Source organism: Homo sapiens, chromosome 1, assembly GCF_000001405.40.
Source record: "Homo sapiens chromosome 1, GRCh38.p14 Primary Assembly".
NCBI classification, from domain to species: Eukaryota; Metazoa; Chordata; class Mammalia; order Primates; family Hominidae; genus Homo; species Homo sapiens.
The window spans coordinates 125,103,234-125,130,246 of NC_000001.11; the positions used below are offsets into that span (position 1 = coordinate 125,103,234).

The following is a 27,013-nucleotide window of genomic DNA, read 5'->3' on the forward strand; positions in this document are numbered from 1 at the left end:
GGACAGCTGGGAGGTAATTGAATCACGAGGGCAGGTCTTTCCCATGCTGTTCTTCTGATAGTGAATAAGTCTCACAAGATCTGATGGTTTTATAAAGGCGAGTTTCCTGCACAAGCTCTCTTGTCTTGTCTGCTGCCAGGTGAGATGTGCCTTTCGGCTTGTGCCATGATTGTGAGGCCTACCCAGCCATGTGGAACTGTGCATCTATTAAACCTCTTTCTTCTGGAAATTACCCAGTCTTGGGCATGTCTTTACCGGAGGGGTGAAAATGGACTAATACAGTAGCACACCTCATAGGGCTGAACAAATTGGGGAAGATGAGTGGGGAGCAGGAGAGAGAAAAGGGGTCTGTGGGACTCCAGCCTTTATTGGGCCCAGAACATTATCCAAATAAGTTTTCCACGCTGGCACTAGTCGGTGGGGTGAGTGCCAGCAGGCACATTTCTTGACTCCTGCTGCAATCAAGCAGGTCACTCTGGTGTGTGGAGGCTGTCCATGTGCACTGTGAGGTCTGTGGGGTGAGTCAGGTAGGTTGTATCCAACGGTTCCATAGCTGGTAGTCACCAGGAGGAGGCAACTGTATAGGGTCAATATCTGGGCCAGCCACACTGAGGAACTGTGAGGGTTAGAACTGGAAATTGTCAAGGGAATCCGAACCCAGCTACCATATGAGAGAGTTCAACTTATGTTCAATGTGAATGCCATGGCAATATTAAAAGGTAAGAATTCGCTCCATACGTGCTTGAGGTAAATAGGAGAAACCTAGAATTTATGTAAACAGTGAGAAGATTGGATGCGTTTTATGTCACACATTTTAATACTAGCAGCTTATTATATATGTCAATCCATCAGGCATTCAGAAATACATGCTTATGAAAATTTTTTGCACCATCAGACAAAAGACAAGGGTAGAAGATAACCTGCTCAAACTTTCTCACACAGAGAAATGTTTGTTAAGTAATTAAAGTGTAGATGATGATACAAAGAGCTTGATTAAATAAGATGCCAAAGTACCCTTGTGATTCAGAATACAAATGGTACTTAATGCCTTTGAAATCAATAATTGCTGAGTGACATTAATTAATGCCAATATTTCAGAAGTTGTTCTGGTTAGTGAAATGTGTACAACATGTAAAAATTTCCGAACTCTGAAGGGCAACATTATTCTATAATTAAGAATTAAGAATTAATTCACATTAATTATTGGGGAGAAATAATTTTAAGGATTAATGACTGAGAAAACATTTTTATTTTTTATTTAGAAAATTATTTTGTGCATGAGCATCACTGCCAGTTTTTCAAGAAACATAAATTTATAGAAACAATTATGTGCACAAGATGAATTTAATAACATCTTGATATTTTCCACTATTACAGTTGTATTTGGTAAATCTTTAAATTCCCATCATCTAAAGGTCATAAATGAATCTTGGAAATCTTGTAGGTAAGGGTAAATATAAGGATGCATCCAATTACATTTACACACACATACAATTACATTTACACAAACATACATGCCCACACGCTCACTGATACAGTTATGCATATATATACATGAATTTACCAATTGATTTTAACTAATATTTATAAGAGCCTGTAGGATTGATATATATTGTTGAACCTGAAAAATATTTATTATATACATGTTTAAAATACACAAAGAAATAAATAGTAATTGCACTAGGCATTTGAAACTGTACTAAAATATAAGCTGTGATCATTACAAATTCTTACACTGAATAAATATTTTTATTTTTGTAATAATATGTTTGATACATGTGTACATTTTTTTAAATGTATTATTTTTGTCATAGAGTCATGTCATGCATAATAATATTTCAGTCAGAGATGGATTATATATACAAAAGTGGTCCCATGATATTATAATACATATTTTTACATGCTTTTCTATGTTTAAGTATGTTTACATACATAAACTCTTACCACTCTGTTCTTATTGCCTGCAGTAATCAGTATAGTAATGTAGTACACAGGTTTGTAGCCTAGGAGAGGTTATACCGTATAACCTAAACGTGGTAGGCTGTACAAACTAGGTGTTTGTAATATTCTCTCTGACGTTTGCAAAATGATGAAATTGCCTATGGATGCATCTGTTAGAACGTATCCCTGTCATTCAGTGATGCGTGACTGTGCTAAAATGCTAAATCTAAGTTTCAATGACCTCCATAAAATTGTTGTACTGTGAAATACAAATCTCTCACCTACGGCCTGAATATGTTTGCAAACTAAGCATATCATGGGAAGGAGAATGTGCTGGCATCGCTGGGATGATTTTCTCACACTACATGAATAATATGTCCAGACTTTGCGAATATGAGCCACTTGTATAGAGTTAAAGTAAGCATCTCTTTGCTGGGAATTTTATCAAATGGGAGTATGAAGTGTTTTTAAAAGATACTTGTTTGTTTGTAGACGGTAGGCCTACAGTGGCTCATGGCAATGGTTGAGGTTGCTAAGATTTGGTGGAAGAAGGCAAAATGAAATGGCCACTTATATGGTATATGGATCACTTGTTTCTGTTGAGTTACAGATTCAGCTGGCTATTTCTCCCAATGTTAGTTATTTGGAGAAAAGAAACATGATAGTAATTTTGGGGTAACAAATACAATATTTGATGAAAGCAAATTTATTGAGGGTTAGACAAACTACAAGATAATTTAGGCTGCAAAGTCAACACGATACTTCTGGCCCAAATTGTGCAGAGTTTGGGTCCAGCTGCAAAGTTCAAAGGAAGAGGCCATATAAGATGATTCGCAATTTTGTCACCAACTGCCAGTTCAGGGGTTTCCCCAGAACACCCTCAATTTCAAGAATTTACTAAAAAGACTCACAGAACTCATTGAATGCCATTGTACTCATGGTTTATAATAGAGAAAGGGTAGAAATTAGGACCAATCAAAGGAAGAGACATATCACGTAAGGTGGAATCTAGGAGGATTTTGAATGTTAAGTTTCCGTTGTCTTCAGGACATATTACCTGTCATTGTTGTACAACAATAAACATGGAGTACTACCAACCTGGGGAGCTCACCTGATGCTAAAAAGACACTATTTAGAGAATGAAAAGACAAAGGAAAGGAGGAGATAAGATGACCTTCCACATTAAGGCACTGGAAAGAATAGAAAACTAAACCTAAAGCAAGCAGAAGGAAGAAAATAAAAATTAGAGAAATTAATAATTTATAATATTAATCATATTTGTTAGTGTTTACTAGTTGATATTAATTATTGACTGACTTTTTTTAAAAAGAGAAATATTCACTTCCCAATTTATTCTGTGGGGCCAGTGTTACCTTGATACAAATATTAGTCCAAATAGCATAGAAAAATAAAACTACTCTAAGTATAAATGCAAAATTCCTTAAAAAATACTAACAAATCAGATCTAGCAACATATAAAAGAATTACACACTATGACAAAGTGAAATTCATACTAGTAATCTCAGGTTGGTTTAACAGCCCAAAATCCATTACGGTAATACATCTTATCCATAGAATAAGAAACAAGAATTGCATGATCATGTCGATAGATTTGGAAAAGACATTTAACAAAATCCAAATGCTTTAATGATTAAAAATAAAAACTCAATGAACTAGGAATAGAGAAATTTCTACACCAGATATATGGCACCTGTGAAAAGCCAACAGCGAGCATGCAACTTAATGGTAAAGGATGCCTTCCCGCTATGGTCAGAGATAAGAACAGGATAAATACTTTGACCTCTTCTAGTCAACACTGCACTAAAGATTTTACGCAGGGAAAATCGGCAACTAAAAAAAAAGAGTCACCCATATTGAACAGGAAGAAATAAAACTGTATTGGAAAATAATATTCTTGTATATAGAAAATTTTAAGGAACCCATTGAACGATAGAACTAGTAAATTATTTCAGCAATATTACAGCATACAAGATAAATGTACAAAAATCAATTACACATATCTACAATGAAAACCCCAAAATGAAATTAAGAAAACACTTCAATTTAAAATAGCATCAAAAAAAGAAATAATAATTAATTTGGAAAATGTGATACAAGATTTTACTCTGAAAATTAAAAATTATTGTTTAAAGAATGTCTAAGTAATTAGCAAACATCTTCCACCCATGAATTGGAAGATTTAATATTGTAGTACTTTACAAGGTGAACTACAGATTTGACGTAATCCCTGCAAGTATCCCAACAGACTTCTGTCTAGAAACTGACAAGCTGATTCTAAAATACACACGGGATGGTAAGAGAATCAAAATAGCCAAAATAGTCTTGATAAAAGAAAACATACTAGGATAATTCACACCCCCGTGCTCCAAACCTTATGGCAAAGCATCGGTAATCAAGACAACACAATACTGATGAAGGAAAATTATATAGATTGATGGAAGAGAATTGAGAGTCCATATATAAAACTATGTATCTATAGTCAATGGATTCTTAAAGTGGTGCCATGTGCAATTCAATGAGGAAGAGACAGTCTTTGAACACACTGGGTCAACAATGTACACGTGGATCGCCACTTGCAAAATAGTAAATTGGAACCCTTACCCCAAAGCGTACAAAAATATTAACTCAAATGAATTAAAGACATACATGCAAGAGCTAGAATAAAGTATATGCGAAAATCTTCAGGGTTTTGGATCTAGCAAAGAAATGGCTGTAACACCAAAAACATGAGCAACAAAATAAAAATTAGATATTTAAAATTTCTTAAAATTTAAAGACATTGGTGTTTCAAAGGACAACCAAGCAAGTCAAAAGGCAGCTCAAAAATTGTGAGAAGATATTTGAGAAACACATATCTATATGTCTGCTTATATATGTATCTTGAATATAGAAAAATTGTTTTAACTCAGTAACAAAAATCCCAACTCAAAACTGATAAACGATAGAAATAGTTGTGTATCCCAAGAAGATACACGAACGGTCAATAATCCCATAAAAAGATACTCAACAGCATCACTCATCAGGCAACTACAAATCAAAACCACAGTTAGATAGTCTATGGATAGAACTGGCCACTTTGGAAAATAGGTTGATGGCTTCTAAATATATGAAACAGAATTGTCATATGACCCAGAAATTTATTCCCAGATATACCCCCAGAGTATTGGAAAGAGGTGTTCAAACACAAATTGTACACAAGTATTTTAACAGCAGTATTTAAATTAGCCAAAGGCTGAACACAACTCAAATGTCAACAAAATATTATTGGATAAACAAAATGTTATATCCATGAAATTGAGTGTTATACAGTTATAAAAAGAAATAAAGTACCAATACGCATGTGAACCTTGATAGCATTATGCCAACTGAAAGAAGCCAGGCACAAAAGGCCACCTATTGTATGATTCTATTTAGATGAAAATAGAATAGGAAGATCTACAGAGACAAAAAACTGATTTGTTGTTGCTTAGGATTGAGTAGGGGATGAGTGCATAGGAGGTTAACAGCTAGAGAAGCTGGGGTTTCTTTTTGAAGTGATGAAAATGCTCTAAAATTCATTGTGATGATGGCTCCACTTATCTGTGTATATACTAAAAGCCATTGACTTGTAGACATTACTATGTGCACTCTACAGTATGTAAATTATATCTCAATAAATCCTTTCAAAAATACACAGAAGACTAAGGGGTTTTGGACTGTTGCAGCTGGAAAGCAGTTTGAAATACTGAATAGGTCTCAACGAGAATGTGAGGTTTCAGTAAAGACTTGAGGAAGTTGAATGAGCTCATCAATGGATATATGGAGGGCTATCTTTCCAAGCTAAGAAATTAACTAGAGTCTTGGTCATAAGGCAGCAGCATGTTGGCATGTCCAGAGGACAGTGAGGTGGCCAGGACCACTGGTAAGTTCAAGGGTGAAGACATAAAAGAATTTTGGCGGTTAACATGCGGCAGATCATGATGGGCTTGCAGACCATTGTAAGAATTGTGTATTTTAATGTAACTGAAATGGGGAGACAAATCACTATCCCATTATCCATATTTTAATAAATTGGATACATGAACCAAATCCAATGAGATTAAACCAATTAGTAATAATATGCAAATTTGTATTAAAATTACCAGAATTCCTTGCACATTTGAGAACAGGAGAGTCATGATTGTTTATCAGCAATAGTAAACTATTAATTTTAATTGTCATCAGCTAATTCAGATTAATTGCAATACATCATGCTTTATAATGTGACTTTCAAAAGGAAAATATGATTGTAATCTTATACTACATCTATCAATGTCTTTGATTTATAGGACTATAGACTAAGCCCCTAGTTTTCAAAGCCAACTGATGAGGCAGCTACATCTTATGCAAGTTTGCTGCTTTCTGCCACAGTAGTCGTTGGTTAGCTGGCACAAATTGTTTTACAACACCACTAGGTCTAAAAAAAGTTTGGATCACAATGAACACAGAATCACCTTCATCCCTTCAGAAATACCTATCAATTAGTTCCAATACAGAATGAAAAACTGACAACGGAAGTATGTTGATTGTAAAAATGTCAGATAGCTTGCATCTACATGAAAGAAAAATGCCATTTTTATTATAATAGATCATTGTTTTACATGAGTTTTGGTATAGCACAATGTTGAACCAGGGGCAGAGAGAGATGAATTAATGAAGTCTTAAGATATCAAGAATTTGAAAGAAAAGGCAGGTCACTTTGAAGGTTAGTGACGTAGCATTCATCTTCTGTTGTCACGTTTTCCGTCATTCCCTGTATGCCTGATGGACAGCTTTCACTGAAGTTCAGAGAGCAGCATGCAAAGATTAGCTACCAACTAATTTTTATGAAGTGAGCTTAATTTCTAGCCAGACTGAGCTTACGTTTTAGCAGGAAGCATTTTTGGGAAATGTTTATGTTAGAGTTGGCCCTTCTTGACAAGGTGAGACATAAATGTCTACTTTATAGACATGAATTAAGATGGGAAGATATTTGGGGGAAACATGTTCTCAAATGCTAAATAACAAAGGTACACAAAGTGGAAATTACACTAGATTTATTTCCCACTTGTTTTCTATGTCTCATGCAATTCACCTTGATTCCCTTCCGTTTCTGTTTAATGTAGAAAGTGGCATTTTCATTATTTTAAGCTTCTAGCACAATGAATTTCTTTTTTTCATAAACTGCATCATAAATGAAAGGGAGGAAGAGTGTTCAATATCATATTTATTGTTCAACAAAACACTGCTCCACTGCTTAAATTCAGTTTAAAAAAGAGAATTTATTGAACATCTAACACATACATAAAAGGCAGTAAAGACACATGAGACGAGGGCAGGATATTGAAGTATACAGACTTTATTTATTTATTTTTTTTTATTATTATACTCTAAGTTTTAGGGTACATGTGCACATTGTGCAGGTTAGTTACATATGTATACATGTGCCATGCTGTTGCGCTGCACCCACTAATGTGTCATCTAGCATTAGGTATATCTCCCAATGCTATCCCCTCCCCCCTCCCCCGACCCCACCACAGTCCCCAGAGTGTGATACTCCCCTTCCTGTGTCCATGTGATCTCATTGTTCAATTCCCACCTATGAGTGAGAATATGCGGTGTTTGGTTTTTTGTTCTTGCGATAGTTTACTGAGAATGATGGTTTCCAATTTCATCCATGTCCCTATAAAGGATATGAACTCATCATTTTTTATGGCTGCATAGTATTCCATGGTGTATATGTGCCATATTTTCTTAATCCAGTCTATCATTGTTGGACATTTGGGTTGGTTCCAAGTCTTTGCTATTGTGAATAGTGCCGCAATAAACATACGTGTGCATGTGTCTTTATAGCAGCATGATTTATACTCATTTGGGTATATACCCAGTAATGGGATGGCTGGGTCAAATGGTATTTCTAGTTCTAGATCCCTGAGGAATCGCCACACTGACTTCCACAATGGTTGAACTAGTTTACAGTCCCACCAACAGTGTAAAAGTGTTCTACACAGCAAAAGAAACTACCATCAGAGTGAACAGGCAACCTACAACATGGGAGAAAATTTTCGCAACCTACTCATCTGACAAAGGGCTAATATCCAGAATCTACAATGAACTCAAACAAATTTACAAGAAAAAAACAAACAACCCCATCAAAAAGTGGGCGAAGGACATGAACAGACACTTCTCAAAAGAAGACATTTATGCAGCCAAAAAACACGTGAAGAAATGCTCATCATCACTGGCCATCAGAGAAATGCAAATCAAAACCACTATGAGATATCATTTCACACCAGTTAGAATGGCAATCATTAAAAAGTCAGGAAACAACAGGTGCTGGAGAGAATGTGGAGAAATAGGAAGTATACAGACTTTAATGCTGAGTTTTGTATCTTAGTAAGTTACTGCACCTTACAGAGACTCAATTTCCCCTGATTTAGGAAGGCGATGCTAATGGGTATTGCATAGGTGTAAGTATAAAAATGTTGTATTTAAGAGAATCCCACAAGCTTGGTATAAGGCAGAAAATAAATAGATGTGACATTAATGAGTAGTTTATTACATTTGTATGCTACCTGCAGACTAGAGGAAGCAAGAAACACAGCCACTATACTTCATTAGCATTATATTCTAATTTGGAATATAAATAGAAAAGAGAAACATAGAAAGCTATGCATAAACACATGCATTAAAATGAATTTTATGGGGACTCTTTCAGGAAAATGTTCCTAAGGTATTTTATTTTTTTATTGTGGTAAAATACACATAACATAAAATGTACTCTGTTAACCATTTTAAGTGTACAGTTCAGTGGTACGAAACAGTCATAACATTGTGCAGCCATCCCTACCATCCATCTCCATAACTCGTTTCATCTTGTGAAACTGAAACTCTATACCCATTAAACAGTACTTCCCCATGTCTTCCTCCCCCCCATCTTCTGACAATCATCATTGTACTATCTCTGTGATTCTGTCCACTTTAAGTCTCTTATACAAATGGAATTATACGGTATTTGTCCTTCACTGACTAACTTATTTCACTTGGCATAATGTCCTCAAGTTTCATCCAAGTTGCAACATATGTCAGAATATTTCCCTCATGTTTAAGGCTGAATAATTTTCCATTGTATGTATATATCATGTTTTGCTTATCCATTCATCTGTGGTTGGACACTTCAATTGCTTCTACGTTTTAGCTATTGCTAATAATGCTGCTGCAAACATGGATGTGCAAATATTTTTTCAAGACTCTGCTTTCAATTCTTTTGCTATCTTCAGATGTGGGGCTGCCAAATCATAAGGCAATACCATTTGGATGTTTTGAGGAACTACCATACTCTTTTCCACAGCAAACATAGGGTTTGGCATTCCCTCCAATATTGCAAAAGGAATCGCCACATCCTTGCCTGTGGATTTTATTCACAAGTCCTGTGGCTCTCTTTACATCCTAGCCACCATATGTTATTTCCTGTTTATATATATGACATCAAAGGTGCAGGCAGTAATGAACTAAATTGGAAGGATAAACATGTAGAAAAATAGAGGTAAATACTGACTACATAAAACCATAAGAATAAGAATTTTGGATGATCTATCTATTATATATCTATTTATCTAACATCTATCTGTTCCTCCATCTGTAATTAAAATATATTACAATTAGAGAACAGAGAAAAAAGTAGGAATACATGAATTTAAATTTTAATTCTTACATTGTCTCACAGCATCATTATATGACAGAAAATGTATAGGTCAGTATCTGCTAACTATAAATGTAACATTTTTAAAGTATTCAAATACATTGAATTGCAGCATGAATAACATATTACAATCCATTCAAGTTTATTTTATTCGGGAACACAAAAATACAAATTTCATTTGCCATTCAAGAAAAACAGAAATCGATACATATGATTGATGTATATATACATTTAATGTATTTTTAAATATACATTTTTAAAAAATAAAATTTTTCTAGGACAACTACTTAAAATATCACTGGAAATAGTGTTATTAGATAATACCTTCCTAATAACTCTGGTATTACATAAGAAAACGAAATTAAAATTTCAGATAAGCTTAGAAACTAAAAATTTTAAAAATATTATTCTGTTCTCCATATGTTCATATTTAATATTATTTCTTGTTTTCATTCTTCTTCAGTGTTGCTCTACTAAAATATAACATACAATAGTTACTTTTGATTTCTGTTCTTATTACTCAAAATTGTATACATTTTCTCATGCTCTTAATTTAGCTATGCTACTTTTCTATACTCCTGGAATTTTCACATTTGTGTTCACTCTCTTTTGAGTACCCATAGTATCAAATAAGCTTTTTGCCCTCTTTCTGATTTGAAGGTTCATCTTCTCATAATTATTTTGTCCACTCAGTTTCTTTTCATTCTCACTTAAGTGCCTCTCATCTGGCTTCTTTTCGTTTCTAAGGTTTCCTTTCATCTTAAGCCAGTCTTTTATTTATATTTTGATTCTGTTTCTTGGAGGACATGCATCCTGGGATTTTAAGGAAGAGGCCAAAAGGTTTGTTCAAGTTTTTTCCTGATACATTGGATTAAATAACCTAATGTACACACCCTTAATTTAAGTCTAGGGGCGACTGTCTACTCTCGTTTTTGTATAGTATTATTTTTCTTAACATCCAAGTCCATCTTCATCTATTTGTATATGATCAATAAAAATATATTTGTCTAGAGCCCTGCTTTGGTGGAGTTACTTCTTTCTAAGTAGGAGAGGTAGCAGTTGAGACATGAGCTGGGTTCTGGGTCAGTTTAGAGGGCTGGGCGACATTCCTCCTTTTGGTCTGTATGACTGAATGAATGCGGTTCTTGCTGTCTCGCTCCTCTCCTTAACACATTGAGCCATTGCAGCAGATGAGAAGGAATAATCCTGATCTGCCATTCAGGTGGAACACTTGTTCTCTCCAACCACATCCATAGGTTGTACTCACACTCGGCCAGAATGTATCCTGTCAATGATATGGAGATGTATCTAGCTATCTAGATAGATATCTACTTTGGTTTATGCTCTCTGGTTGCCTGTAAATTATCTCCTTAAAGTGAATATCAAAAGAGAGCTTGGTGATGGCAGTGTTATAAAATCCTCAAAATGCAGCACCCACACCCAGAGGAATTTGTAGATTCTGGGATTCTAATTCAGATACCAAACTATATAAAAGGGGCATTGGTCATTGAGGGTTGCTAGGCTCTTTGTGGAGCATATTTGCTCTTTTCATGACTTTGAAATTATTTTAAAAATCTAACCTTTTTCTCGGTGTGCTGCAAGATGATTTGATTTTAATGCACAAGCACTAATTCTCCCCTAAGATTTGTACAATATATTTGCTCTGACAAGCCATAGCCAGAAACTCACTTCACAGCAATTTATAGCATTTCCACCACAATTTGAATTATTTTTAACTAGAATCTCTTTGCCTTAATAAAAATATGACGAAGCAATATACTTGTTCTAGTTAGGTTCAAAAGTTGGCAGTCTCTCTCCTGGAAAGAATAATAAAACTTTTCAGCGGCCTAATATGCATCTACAGACACACACACATGCAAGCACTATTCATAATATTTAAAACACATTCTGTTCTATGACTTCATTTGTCTAGCACAAAATAAAACGATCTCAGTATATGTCAAGTACCAATTGTTTCGTATGGCCAATTATAGGTATTTTATTTTTTAAAGAATAGAGTGTTCTTGAAGCTCTTTCTATTTCTTTGTCAATGAACTAAACATTGGCAAATATGTAGGGTTTCCCACATAAGAACATTATTAACATCAAAATAGAAAGCTGGTGGTAGAAATAATGATTGGGAACACGGAGTCTCTACTCAGAGTTCTACTTCTGCCATACCATAACTTTGTGATCTCACGAAATATCTCTCCATGTTCTCATCCCTATGTATAGTTCTGTCATTTTTCAATAAGAGCTTTTTGCTTAATTATGAAGTACTAGTTACTATAACCATTATTTTGAGCTTCATGTAAATCAAGAACACATGGACTCCACTTGCAAAACATTGAAAATGTAGTTAGGGATTGGGGGCACAAAGCAACATTTTAAAATGTGTAAAGACAATGAGTAAGCAACAAAGTGTCCAATTTTTTAAGCGATAGTTGCATACGTCAAGAAAAGGCAGGATTAAGTAACAGAGAATTTGAATGATAACTGGCCAATTGGTGTCGTTTACAATTGCAAGTCATACAAATGAAGTTTGCTTTTTTAAAGAGAAAAGGAGTTAGTTAGAATGGGTCAACCTATTGGGGAAGCAATGTAGTTAGAGACAATGCCCAAAACCATGTGAGCAAATGCTCTGTAGAGCGCACCCCTGCAATTCTGTCATTGTGAGGCCAAGTCTCTCCTTGTCTTGGTACTGAGCCCTCCATTCTGCCTCCATCATTGCCACTGTAGCTGCCACAAAATGATCCCTCAACCACCGCCGCCCAGGAACAAAGAAAGAATTCTGTCCTTCCACACTCTCAGATCAATTTCCAACATCAGGTGAGACTTTGATGGGCACTATTCAGTTCCCATATCCCTGAAATAGATGCGGTAAAAACATAGAAATTGCCTATGTGTTTCCCAATAAGACACATATGGAAGCCTGTTTTCCCACAACAGGAAGGGGTTTCCACGATGGGTGCTCAAAAGAACAATATTCCCTGTAAACCATACTTTGCCCATATGAAGAAGAGCAATAAGGATTATTTAGTAAATAGACATGGAAACTCATCCAGGGTTGGCTGATGAGAAGCTGGTTAGCAAGGGGGTCTGCCTTCAGTTAGGACAAGGTCTGTGCTTCCCACGGGTTCTCTCCACAGCAGGAGGGATGCAAACTTCCCTTTCCTCCCCTGCACCTATCCTCAAATGGCCCAGAGGTCTTCAGGTGCTAGAATTTCTCAATGAATGCTGCACAAAATAACAGACAGCCTTGACTGTCACTGTCTGTTCTCATGAAGCTAGTCTCTGCTTACTACATAAAACAGAAGAGTAAGAACAAGGGTGTGAAACACTACCCTAGCTCAAACAAGTGTCTCTCTGTAGGATGCCAAGATCCTGGGAACCAGTGCATCTGCTGCTTTCCCTTCTCGGATTCTAGCCCAGACACAAGAGGCAAGGGGCATTTCTTCAGAGGCCTTGAGCTTCACTACACAATGCCCCAGGCTCTACATGCACCCTCTTTATATATTTCTACCTTGAAATAAAATTTTATATAATAACATATATTTTTATATAAGGAACACATATGTTTATTTTATAGATAGATATACATAGATAAAGATCTCTAGTCTGCCTTTTTGAAGGCTGGGCTGATCGCGGTGCCCCAAAACTATAATCCCAGCACTTTGGGATGCCAAGGTGGCCAGATCTCTTGAGTCCAGGAGATGGAGATCAGCCAGGGCAACATGGTGAAACCCCATCTTTACAAAAATTAGCTAGTATGGTGTCATGCAATTGCAGTCCCTGCTACTCAGGAGACTGAGGTGGGAGAATCACTTGAGCACAGTATGTGAAGGCTTCAGTGAGCTTTGATCACATGACTGCACTCCATCTTGGGTGACAAAGTGAGACACTCTCTCAAAATAAAATAAAATAAAAAGGCTACCACCATACTCACAGATAAGTGTGTCAGGTATATTTGCAGCTATCTTTCCTATATTCTATTTGGTAAAAAAAAAATTGCAAAGAACTCTTCTCATTCTAGATTTTTGTATTAATTAGACATTTGAAGTTTATAGCAGAAGAGCTATAATCATGTTTGGTATGTGTGATCTATAGACCAGATAGTGAAAGCATATATCAATGCTTTTTAAAAGTATATAAGGTTATTAGAAATATTTTAAACTACCTATAGGTATATATGTATCTAATTCAACTATCAAATCAAGTAAGATCACTTCCTTAGCGTGTGAAATGCACTCAATTAAAATATTTTCTAATGTCTATTACAATAATATTTCTTAATTAGCTAACATAAGAGGAGTTTTAAGACATTTATTTATATGTACTTACTAGATTCAAACTCGATTCCACTATTTTGAGAAATCATGCTCCGGGACAAGTCCTTTTTTTATCTAACTCTGTTTCTACCTATATTAAAAGACAGATATGGCAATTTTGCTAATCATGCTGTTCCAAAACTCTCCATCCTATTTTTCGGTTTGTTCTACCAGTCATTCAGAGACTTACTTATATTCAAATTTCTCTCTAGGTTTAACATTTGTGTATGTCTTCTTGTGTTTTTGTCTATTTTTGCTGTATATAATTTAAGACATTTATTGACATATATCATACATGCAGAAAAGTACAATGATTAAATATGGATAGCTTCATTAATGAAACACATGTATTTGCTTATAACCATGTATGAAAATAGAACATTACTAAAAATAGAGATACTTCTCCTGCCCCTTTCCAAACACTAACCCTCATCCTCAATAGTATCAGATTTTTTTTATCATAGAGTAATTTGGTCTATTTTCAAATTTTTATTAAATAAATCAGAGTATCTACTCTAAGTCTATGTTTCTTTCATTGTTGTTATTTTGCTTATAGTATTTATCTGCTAATGGACATGGTAGATTAAAGAAGGCTACATACACATTTTTTAATTAATAGATTTTTTGAGCACTTTGTGGCTCATGCCTCTAATCCCACCACTTTGGGAGGCTGAGGTGCGTGGATCATGAGGTCAGGAGATCGAGACCATCCTGGCCAACGTGGTAAAACCCCTTCTCTACTAAAATACAAAAAATTAGCTGATAGATAACATCAAGATAACATGTGGGTTCTTAGCTACACTGAGTCAAGCCTACTTACATCTTTGTTTGTCTTCCTCTGCACTTTTCCTTCCACATCACACTCCAGGAATGCCAAGCTGTGCTGGCCTTCTACCCCATTTCCACTATTTTGCCCCCGCCGACGCGGCTTTTTGCCGTCGTGGATTTGTGACCCCACCGCTGCGGGTTTTTGCGGCTTTATGCCCCCGCCGCCGTTGCTTTCTGCCCCCGGCCTCGCGGAATTTAGCCCCTGCCGCCGCGGCTTTTGGGGCTCTTTGCCCTCGCCGCCGAGGCTTTTTGCCGCTGCAGCTTTTTGCCTCTTTCTCCCCCCGCCGCTGCGGCTTTTTGCCCCTGAAGCCACGGATTTTTGCCCTAGCTGACGCGGCTTTTTGCGGCTTTTTCCCCCTGCTGCCGCAGCTTTTTGCCCCCGCCACCGCAAATTTTTCCGCCGCGGCTTTTTGTCACCGCCGCCGCAGGTTTTTCCCGCCGTGGCTTCTTGCCTTGCCGCCCCGGCTTTTTACGGCTTTTTGCCGCCGCGGCTTTTGGCCCCCGCCACCGCGGCTTTTTACGCCTTTTCGCCCCCGCTGCCGCGGCTTTTTTCCCCCTCCGCCGCAGGTTTTTCCAGCCGCGGCTTCTTGCCCCCACTGCCCGGGCTTTTTGTGTCGTTTTGCCCCCGCCGCCGCGACTTTTTGCTGCTATTTTCCCCTGCCACCGCAGCTTTTTGCCCCCGCTGCCGCGGCTCCTTGCCCCGTACGCGGCTTCCTGCCCCGCCGCCACGGCTTTTTATCACCCCAGCCACTTTTTGCCCCCGCCGCCACGGGTTTTTGCTCCTGCCGCCGACGGTTTTTGCGCCTTCATGTCCCCGCCGTCGTGGCTTTTTGCCGCCCCTGCTTTTTGCCCCCTCTGTCGCGACTTTTTGCGGCTTTTTACCCACTCCGCTGCGGCTTCTTGAGGCTTTTTGCCCCCGACGCCGCGGCTTTTTGCCGCCGCCGCACCGTTTTGCCCCCGCCGCCGCATCTTTTTGCCGCCGCGGCTTCTTACCCCGCCACCGTGGTTTTTGTCCCCGCCGTCGCGGCTTTCTTACCCCGATGCTGTGGCTTTTTACGGCTTTTTGCCCCCGTCACCGCATCTTTTTGCCCCCGCCACCGCAGCTTTTTGTCGCCGTGGCTGTTTGCCTCGGCCGCCCTGGCTTGTTGCCCCCGCCGCTGTGGATTGTTGCCCCCGTCGCCCCGGCTTTTGGACCCCACCGTTGCGGCTTTTTGCGCCCGCCGCCGCGGCTTTTTGCGGCTTTTTGCCCCCGCCGCCGCGGCTTTTTGCCCCCGTCACCGCGGCTTTTTCCCCGCCGTCGCGGCTTTTTACTCCCGCCGCCACAGGTTTTTACCCCTGCGGCTTTTTCACCCCGCCGTCGCGTGTTTTTGCCCCCACCGCCGCGGGTCTGAGGGCGGGATCAGCAGACTCAGCTTCCAGATCTACCTGCGTCCTGGCTAAGGCAGCGCCGAGGGTCACTCCTGGTCCAGCTCTCCCGGTTCGGGGGTTCCTTGCCTAGACACCCGCGCCCCAGGCTCTGTTCCTGGGCAGCTGCAGCCAGCATAGAGCTGCACTGCGCTCGGCCCCGATGGGAGAGAAGAAGGAGAGCGGTGGAGGGGGTGACGCGGCTATCGCGGAGGGAGGCCCAGGGGCCGCAGCCAGCCGGGTGCTGCAGCAGTGAGGACAGCTTCAGAAGCTCATCGGCATCTCCCTTGGCAGCCTGCGGGGGCTGCGCACCAAGTGCGCTGTGTCCAAGGACCTCACCCAGCAGGAGATACAGACCGTGCAGGTAAGGGGATCGGGGACCAGGGCTGGGCTCCAGCACCGGGCTGGACATCTCCCTCTGGGCCCAAGTTAACTCCTGGCCGAGTTGCATCCTTGAGCCCGCGTCACCCCCTTGGAGGCTTCTCCTCCCTTCTGCACTGGCTGATGCGGCAGCCGGAGGACCCGAGACCAGCCCTCACCTTGGGCAGGATTTGTGGGGTGGGTGCGTGTTGGGAACTGTGATGGAGGCTCAAGGGGCCCGTGGGAGGGGTGGGCTGCGTGCGGACATCCCCTTACGCCCCGAATTTCCATCTGGTGCAGCCTTCTCATCTTGTAGGTGAGGAAACCGAAGGCCTGAGGGAGAAAGGACTTGCCAGGAACCCCTGTTAGGGAAAATTAACAAAGTGTGGTTATCAAAGGAGAACTGAGTTCAGATTCAGACCTGGAGTCCCACACCCTTGGTTGAGACATTATATCACCTTGAGTCTGGCCTGTTGACTGAGGGTGAGGCACTCCATCCTCGTCTGATTGTGGGGTCTTGACCTCAAGGGGTTTCCTGCAGGAAGAAGCAAATGGGTTTGCTTTCCTACCTCTGTCCAGTACTTTAGGGACCCTGAGAACTGGAGAGATTCTTGGAGAGCCATCTGGTGTATGTCATGGGTGGGCCTTGTTTGAAGGTCAGTCTGCCCAGTGGGCTGGCTCAGCCCGAATGAACTGTCTTGAATCTTTGGAGACGTCTGGGTAGTTTTAAGGGTTTCTCATCCTTGCACCAAAAGATCCCCTGGAAATTACGTGGGAAAACCTTAACTTTTGTGGAGCCTTGTATTTGTCTTAAAAGTTCATGCACATAGCCATGTGTGGTGGTTCACGCCTGTTGTCCTGTCCTGGATCCCTTGAGTCAAGGAGTTTGAGACCAACCTGGACAATATAATGAGACCCCATCTCTACAAAAAATAAAATATTAGCAAGGAGTGGTTGTGCACATCTGTAGTCCTAGCTACTACTGTGGCTGAGGCGGGAGGAGCACTTGAGCCTGCACTGAGCTGTGATCTCACCAGTGTATTCCAGCCTGGGCCACAGAGCAACACCTTGATTCAAAAAAAAAAAAAAACCAACAAGAAAAATTCTTGAAGATTTTGCATTCTGTCCCACTATCCATTGGTTTTCATGTCAAGATAATGTTAGAAATTCTTTACAGTTGCTTCCAGAAGGAGTAGCCTTTTGATCTAGTGCACAGGTGTCCAGTCTTTTGGCTTCTCAGGGCCACATTGGAAGAAGAATGCTCCTGGGCCACAGATAAAATACACTACTGCTCATGATAGCTGATGAGCTTAAAAAAAAAAGGTTTGTGCATAATTTTCATGATACCCACCACCACAGATAGGAGGAAAAGTCCTTGTAGTCAAAGGGTTGGACACGGCTGATCTAGTGTCTTGTCGTCCGTTTTGGCTTTCTCCCTGACTCCAGAATGCAGGTAGAGATGTAGAGACATGCTCTCAGGACAGCTGTTGAGATAAAAAAAATTCGTTTTCACTTATTCCTAAGGACAGCTGTTTGCCATTTGCATTGAAAAAGTCTCCATTCAAATTGCTGTCACATATAAAATCTATTGATATGTCTGTATTTTTCTGTTGTCTTGGCCTTTGTGGGCAGTAGTGTGTTTTAACCGAGCAAACTGTCCTTCCAAATAATGAAGCCGAAGTCAGCCTACCTGCTTGCAATTTTTCTTCCCCTTCCATTTTTCTAACCTCAGAATAATTGTAAGAATGAATTAAGATTTGTGTTTAAGGCCGGGCACAGTGTCTCAGGCCTGTAATATTAGCACTTTGGGAGGCGGAGATGGATGTATCGTTTGATCTCAGGAGTTGAAGACCAGCCTGGGCAACATACTGAGACTCCGTCTTGTATAATTTAATTAAAAATTTAAAAAATGAGAGAAAAGGACCTGTGTTTAAAATTTTGAAAAAGGAGGAAAGTTGTAATGCAAAATGTGGACTATGCTAGCTATGATTGGGAAAAATAATTTTTCATACAGCATTATCTGTTGACTTGTATTAGCAGAATACTGGTCATAAGCGTTTTGCTTTCCTCAAATATGAGGTAAGCTACTTTAAAGTGTGGTGGGGCTTTCTTCCGCATGGCTTCTGGAGGTGTTGTGCCCCAATTTAGCCAATTAATTTGGGTTTAGTTTTGATATGGATGAGGGAGACCGGCTTCATTCATGATGCACACACAGTTTTGCCAGTAAGGAAAAAAAAAGCCACCTGAATGTTCCTACTCATTATATGCTATCTGGAGAGCTCCTACCCCACCCCCACCAAGGCCCGGGCCATTAAAAAGACTCAATGCAGCCTTCCTGTATCTCATACTGTATTCTGCAAGATGCTCCTGTGAAAGAAAGTTGTGCTGCATCAGCCATCTCCCTCCTGAAGATCCCTGCGGATGAGGGTTGGTGTTTTAAAGTTTCTCAGAAGTCCTACAACAACAGTTCTCAAACTTGTTTGTCCAGGGGATCTTTTCTTCCACTAAACGTAGTTGGGGAGACACGGCCTTAAGCCTTGAGCAGAGAAAGAGACAAGAAACTGTTGGCTCACTTACAACCAAGAGTTGTGTTTATGTTTTAGGTTTTTATGAAACTGAGGTGCTGTTTGAGGTTCTAAATGAAATTGGGTGGTTGAAGAGAGGCTGGTATCCCTGTAGACTTAGCCAGCCATGAGAGGTTGAGTTTTGTTGAAGGAGGTGTTTTACAAAGGGAAATAGGGTGTTTTCTGGGCATCGCATTAGCACTTAAATACATGTATCACTGAAATGAAATGAAATGATGCAATGATGACATGAAATGAAATGATGAAATGATGAAATGAAATGACATGATAAAATGATGAAATGAAATGAAATGATGAGATGAAATGAAATGGTGAAATGATGAAATGAAATGCTGAAATGAAATGATGAAATGAAATGAGATGAAATGAAATGATGAAATGATGAAATGGAATGATGAAATAAAATGATGAAATGATGAAATGGTGCAATGAAATGAGGAAATTAAATGATGAAGTGAAATGGTGAAATGAAATGAAAGGACGAAATGATGAAATGAAGAAATGGTATGAAATGATGAAATGAAATGATGAAATGAAGTGAAATGTTGAAATAATGAAATGAGGGGTGGAGCCAAGATGGCCTAATAGGAACAGCTCCGGTCTACAACTCCCAGCATGAGCGACGCAGAAGACGGGTGATTTCTGCATTTCCATCTGAGGTACCGGGTTCATCTCACTAAGGGAGTGCCAAACAGTGGGTGCAGCCCACCGTATGGGAGCCGAAGCAGGGTGAGGCATTGCCTCACTCAGGAAGCACAAGGGGTCAGGAAGTTCCCTTTCCTAGTCAAAGAACGGGGTGACAGACGGCACCTGGAAAATCGGGTCACTCTCACCCTAATGCTGCACTTTTCCAACAGGCTTAGAAAACGGCACACCAGGAGATTGTGTCCTGCACCTGGCTCGGAGGGTCTTATGCCAATGGAGTCTTGCTGATTGCTAGCACGGCACTCTGAGATCAAACTGCAAGGCGGCAGCGAGGCTGGGGGAGTGGGGCCCGCCATTGCCCTGGCTTTCTTAGGTAAACAAAACAGCCAGGCAGCTGGAACTGGGTGGAACCCACAACAGCTCCAGGAGGCCTGCCTGCCTCTGTAGGCTCCACCTCTGGGGGCAGGGCATAGACACACAAAAAGTCAGCAGTAACTTCTGCAGACTTAAATGTCCCTGTCTGAACAGCTTTGAAGAGAGTACTGGTTCTCCCAGCATGCAACTGGAGATCTGAGACTGAGCAGCTGCCTCCTAAATTGGGTCACTGAACCCCGAGCAGCCTAACTGGGAGGCACCCCCCTGTAGGGACAGACTGACACCTCACTCGGCCGGGTAGTCGTCTGAGGCCAAACTTCCAGAGGAATGATCAGACAGCTGAATTTGTGGTTCACGAAAATCCGCTGTTCTGCCGCCACCGCTGCTGATACCCAGGCAAACAGGCTCTGACGTGGACCTCTAGTAAACTCCAACAGACCTGCAGCTCAGGGTCCTGTCTGTTAGAAGGAAAGCTAACAAACAGAAAGGACACCCATACCAAAAACCCATCTGTGAATCACCATCATCAAAGACCAAAAGTTGATAAAACCACAAAGATGGGGAGAAAACAGAGCAGAAAAACTGGAAACTCTAAAAAGCAGAGTGTCTCTCCTTCTCCAAAGGAATACAGTTCCTCACCAGCAATGGAAAAAAACTGCACAGAGAATAACTTTGACGATTTGAGAGAAGAAGGCTTCAGATGATCAAACTACTGCGAGCTACAGGAGGAAATTCAAACCAATAGCAAAGAAGTTAAAAACTTTGAAAAACAATTAGACGAATATATAACTGGAATAACCAATGCAGAGAAATGCTTAAAGGATCTGATGGAGCTGAAAGCCAAGTTTCGAGAACTACGTGAAGAAGGCAGAAGCCTCAGGAGCTGATGCAATCAACTGGAAGAAAGGGTGTCAGTGATGGAAGATGAAATGAATGAAACGAAGGGAGAAGGGAAGTTTAGAGAAAAAAGAATAAAAAGAAACGAACAGAGCCTCCAGGAATTATGGGACTCTGTGAAAAGACCAAACCTACGTCTGATTGGTGTACCTGAAAGTGACGGGGAGAATGGAACTAAGTTGGAAAACAATCTGCAAGATATTATCCAGGAGGACTTCCCCAATCTAGCAAGGCAGGCCAACATTCAGATTCAAGAAACACAGAGAACGCCACAAAGATAATCCTCCAGAAGAGAAACTCCAAGACACATAGTTGTCAAATTCACCAAAGTTGAAATGAAGGAAAAAATGTTAAGGGCAGCCAGAGAGAAAGGTCGGGTTACCCTCAAAGGGAAGCCCATCAGACTAACAGCTGATCTCTCGGCAGAAACTCTTCAAGCCACAAGAGAGTGGGGGCCAATATTCAACATTCTTAAAGAAAAGAATTTTCAACCCAGAATTTCATATCCAGCCAAACTAAGCTTCATAAGTGAAGGAGAAATAAAATCCTTTACAGACAAGCAAATGCGAGAGATTTGCTTGCCCTAAAAGAGCTCCTGAAGGAAGCACTAAACATGGAAAGGAACAACTGGTACCAGCCACTGGAAAAACATGCCAAATTGTAAAGACCATTGAGACTAGGAAGAAACTGCATCAACTAACGAGCAAAATAACCAGCTAACATCATAATGACAGGATCAAATTCACACATAACAATATTAACTTTAAATGTAAATGGGCTAAATGCTCCAATGAAAAGACACAGACTGGCAAATTGGAGAAGGAGACAAGGCCCATCAGTGTGCTGTATTCAGGAAACCCATCTCACGTGCAGAGACACACATAGACTCAAAATAAAGGGATGGAGGAAGGTCTACCAAGCAAATGGAAAACAAAAAAAGGCAGGGGTTGCAATCCTAGTCTGTGATAAAATAGACTTTAAACCAACAAAGATCAAAAGAGACAAAGAAGGCCATTACATCATGGTAAAGGGATCAATTCAACAAGAAGAGCTAACTATCCTAAATATATATGCACCCAATACAGGAGCACCAAGATTCATAAAGCAAGTCCTGAGTGACCTACAAAGAGACTTAGACTCCCCCACAATCATAATGGGAGATTTTAACATGCCACTGTCAACATTAGACAGATCAATGAGACAGAAAGTTAGCAAGGACACCCAGGAATTGAACTCAGCTCTGCACCAAGCACACCTAATAGAGATCTACGGAACTCTTCACCCCAAATCAACAGAATATACATTTTTTTCAGCACCACACCACACCCATTCCAAACTTGATCACATAGTTGGAAGTAAAGCTCTCCTCAGCAAATGTAAAAGAACAGAAATTATAACAAACTGTCTCTGAGACCACAGTGCAATCAAACTAGAACTCAGGATTAAGAAACTCACTGAAAACCGCTCAACTACATGGAAAATGAACAACTTGCTCCGGAATGACCACTGGGTACATAACAAAATGAAGGCAGAAATAAAGATGTTCTTTGAAACCAGCGAGAACAAAGAAAAAACATACCAGAATCTCTGGGACACAGTCAAAGCAGTGTGTAGAGGGAAATTTATAGCACTAAATGCCCACAAGAGAAAGCAGGAAAGATCCAAAATTGACACCCTAACATCACAATTAAAAGAACTTGAAAAGCAAGAGCAAACACATTCAAAAGCTAGCAGAAGGCAAGAAATAACTAAAATCAGAGCAGAACTGAAGGAAATAGAGACACAAAAAACCCTTCAAAAATTAATGAATCCAGCAGCTGGTCTTTTGAAAAGATCAACAAAATTGATAGACCACCAGCAAGACTAATAAAGAAGAAAAGAGAGAAGAATCAAATAGACGCAACAAAAAATGATAAAGGGGATATCACCACCTATCCCACAGAAATACAATCTACCATCACAGAAAACTAAAAACACCTCTATACAGATAAACTAGAAAATGTAGAAGAAATGGATAAATTCCTCGACACATACACTCTCCCAAGACTAAACCAGGAAGAAGTTGAATCTCTGAATAGACCAATAACAGGCTCTGAAATTGTGGCAATAATCAATAGCTTACCAACCAAAAAGAGTCCAGGACCAGATGGATTCACAGCAGAATTCTACCAGAGGAACAAGGAGGAACTGGTACCATTCCTTCTGAAACTATTCCAAACAACAGAAAAAGAGGGATTCCTCTCTAATTTTATGAGGCCAGCATCATCCTGATACCAAAGCCGGGCAGAGACACAACCAAAAAAGAGAATTTTAGGCCAATATCCTTCATGAACATTGATGCAAAAATCCTCAATAAAATACTGGCTAACCGAATCCAGCAGCACATCAAAAAGCTTATCCACCATGATCAAGTGGGCTTCATCCCTGGGATGCAAGGCTGGTTCAACATATGCAAATCAATAAACATAATCCAACATATAAACCTAACCAAGGACAAAAACCACATGATTATCTCAATAGATGAAGAAAAGGCCTTTGACAAAATTCAACAGCCCTTCATGCTAAAAATTCTCAATAAATTAGGTATTGATGGGACGTATCTCAAAATAATAAGAGCTATCTAGGACAAACCCACAGCCAATATCATACTGAATGGGCAAAAACTGGAAGCATTCCTTTTGAAAACTGGCACACGACAGGGATGTCCTCTCTCAATACTCCTATTCAACATAGTGTTGGAAGTTCTGGCCAGGGCAATCAGGCAGGAGAAGGAAACAAAGGGTATTCAATTAGGAAAAGAGGAAGTCAAATTGTCCCCGTTTGCAGATGACATGGTTGTATATTTAGAAAACCCCATTGTCTCAGCCCCAAATCTCCTTAAGCTGATAAGCAAATTCAGCAAAGTCTCAGGATACAAAATCAATGTAAAAAAATCACAAGCATTCTTGTACACCAATAACAGACAAACAGAGTGCCCAATCATGAGGGAAATCCCATTCACAATTGCTTCAAAGAGAATAAAATACCTAGGAACCCAGCTTACAAAGGACATGAAGGACATCTTCAAGGAGAACTGCAAACCACTGCTCAATGAAATAAAAGAGGATACAAACAAATGGAAGAACATTCCATGCTCTTGGGTTGGAAGAATCAATATCGTGAAAATGGCCATACTGCCCAAGGTAATTTATAGATTCAATGCCATCCCCATCAAGCTACCAATGACTTTCTTCACAGAATTGGAAAAAACGACTTTAAAGTACATATGGAACCAAAAAAGAGCCCGCATCACCAAGTCAATCCTAAGCCAAAAGAACAAAGCTGGAGGCATCACGCTACCTGACTTCAAACTATACTACAAGGCTACAGTAACCAAAACAGCATGGTACTGGTACCAAAACAAAGACATAGATCAATGGAACAGGACAGAGCCCTCAGAAATAATGCTGCATAGCTACAACTGTCTGATCTTTGTCAAACCTGACAAAAACAAGCAATGGGGAAAGGATTCCCTATTTAATAAATGGTGCTGGGAAAACTGGCTAGCCATATGTAGAAAGCTGAAACTGGATCCCTTCCTTACACCATATACAAAAATTAATTCAAGTTGGATCAAAGACTTACATGTTAGACCTAAAATCATAAAAACCCTAGAAGAAAACCTAGACAATACCATTCAGGACATAGGCCTGGGCAAGGACTTCATGTCTAAAACACCAAAAGCAATGGGAACAAAAGCCAAAATTGACAAAGGGGATCTAATTAAACTAAAGAGCTTCTGCACAGCAAAAGAAACTACCATCAGAGTGAACAGGCAACCTACAAAATGGGAGAAAATTTTTGCCACCTACTCAGCTGACAAAGGGCTAATAACCAGAATCTACAATGAACTCAAACAAATTTACCAGTAAAACACAAACAACCCCATCAAAAAGTGGGTGAAGGACACGAACAGACACTTCTCAAAAGAAGACATTTATGCAGCCAAAAAACACATGAAAAAATGCTCATCATCACTGGCCATCAGAGAAATGCAAATCAAAACCACCATGAGATACCATCTCACACCAGTTAGAAAGGCGATCATTAAAAATCAGGAAATGGCAGGTGCTGGAGAGGATGTGGAGAAATAGGAACACTTTTACACTGTTGGTTTGACGGTAAACTAGTTCAACCATTGTGGAAGTCAGTGTGGCGATTCCTCAAGTATCTAGAACTAGAAATACCATGTGACCCAGCCATTCCATTACTGGGTATATACACAAAGGACTATAAATCATACTGCAATAAAGACACATGCACACGTATGTTTATTGCGGCAGTATCACAATAGCAAAGACTTGGAACCATCCCAAATGTCCAACAACGATAGACTGGATTAAGAAAATGTGGCACATATACACCATGGAGTACTATGCAGCCACAAAAAATGATGAGTTCGTGTCCTATGTAGGGACATGGATGAAACTGGAAATCATCATTCTCAGTAAGCTCTCGCAATGACAAAAAACCAAACACCACATGTTATCATTCATATGTGGGTATTGAAAAATGAGAACACATGGACACAGGAAGGGGAACATCACACTTCGGGGACTGTTGTGGGGTGGGGTGAGTGGGGAGGGATAGCATTAGGAGATATACCTAATGCTAAATGACGAGTTAATGGGTGCAGCACACTAACATGGCACATAAACACTTATGTTATAAACCTGCACATGGTGCACATGTATCCTAAAACTTAAGGTAAAATAATAAAATAAAATAGAATAAAATAACAAAATATACACTAATACAGATTAACCAACTAAAAAAAATTGTAGAGAAAGGTCATTTAAAAAATATGAAGGATAGAGTAATAATCTAACACGTTGAAATCTAAGAAGGAGCAAACAGCTTGTCTGAACAGCATTTTAAGTGGCAATGTTAGAGGTTTTATCAAAATTGACCAATAATATTAAACGACAGGTTCAGGAGGCTTTTCAAAGCAAAGGAAAACACATACAGAGGACACACCTAGAAACATAATGGGACACTTTCTGAAAAGTAAAAGAAAAATGTAAAGAGCACTTGATAAAAAAATTGGGCTAACTACAAAGAGAAAGAGTTGACTGATAACAACTTTCTCAAACGAAACAACGAAAGCCAACAAGTGCGGTATTGATATCTTTCAAGTCCTGAAACAAAATAAGTGCTGACCTAGAACTGTCTACTTGGTGGACATATCCATCAAAAGCAAAGATACAATAAAGAATTTCTCCCAAGCAGACCCTCAGGAAAAGAAATACTAAAGATTATTCTTCAGGTAGAAGAGCCATGATCCCTGATGAAAGTTTGCAGTTAGAAGAACAATTTTTTAATGAAAGAAATAAACAGAGAGAGAAATTTAATTGGATATTGACTGTATAACAGACTGCTATCTCATAAAGTTTAAAATGTATCTTCCATACAACGGCAGAAGCATATAAGTTGTGAGTTGGATAAATTAATTTTAAAATATTGTCAAGTTTTTTATTTTTTTTTGCAAATAGACAGATGTACCAATTATATTAGACCCTAAATTCAAGAATGCACGTTGTATTAAAACAGGTAAAACATTACAAGGCCAGATTTTTTAAATGGACTCTCTTAAAGTTTTTATAATTTATATTCATATTTCACATATGTTGAAAGTAAATAATGGAAAAGCATGCAATGCAAATATTAACCAAAATATAACTTTAGTTGTACTTATATTCACATTTTAAAAGTTGGACACAGTTAAGTCTCAGAGATTTTTTTACACAACGAAGGCAACCTGTGCAGTTATAACTAGTGTTATATTATGCTCTTGGCCTGATTACAGAAGGGAAATGGGAGATCATACCAGACAATGGCAGAATGAAGCAACAAGGAGTAGAGTTACAGAACATGATGCTGTAACTGGGACT

At 39.5% G+C, this 27,013-nt stretch overlaps 1 annotated feature.

Moving 5' to 3' along the window:
• Positions 1-27,013: part of a centromere (Linear centromere model derived predominantly from reads generated in PMID: 17803354. This region does not represent an actual centromere sequence, as long-range ordering of repeats and unmapped WGS contigs is not provided by the model. For details of model production, see http://arxiv.org/abs/1307.0035.) that runs on past both edges of the window.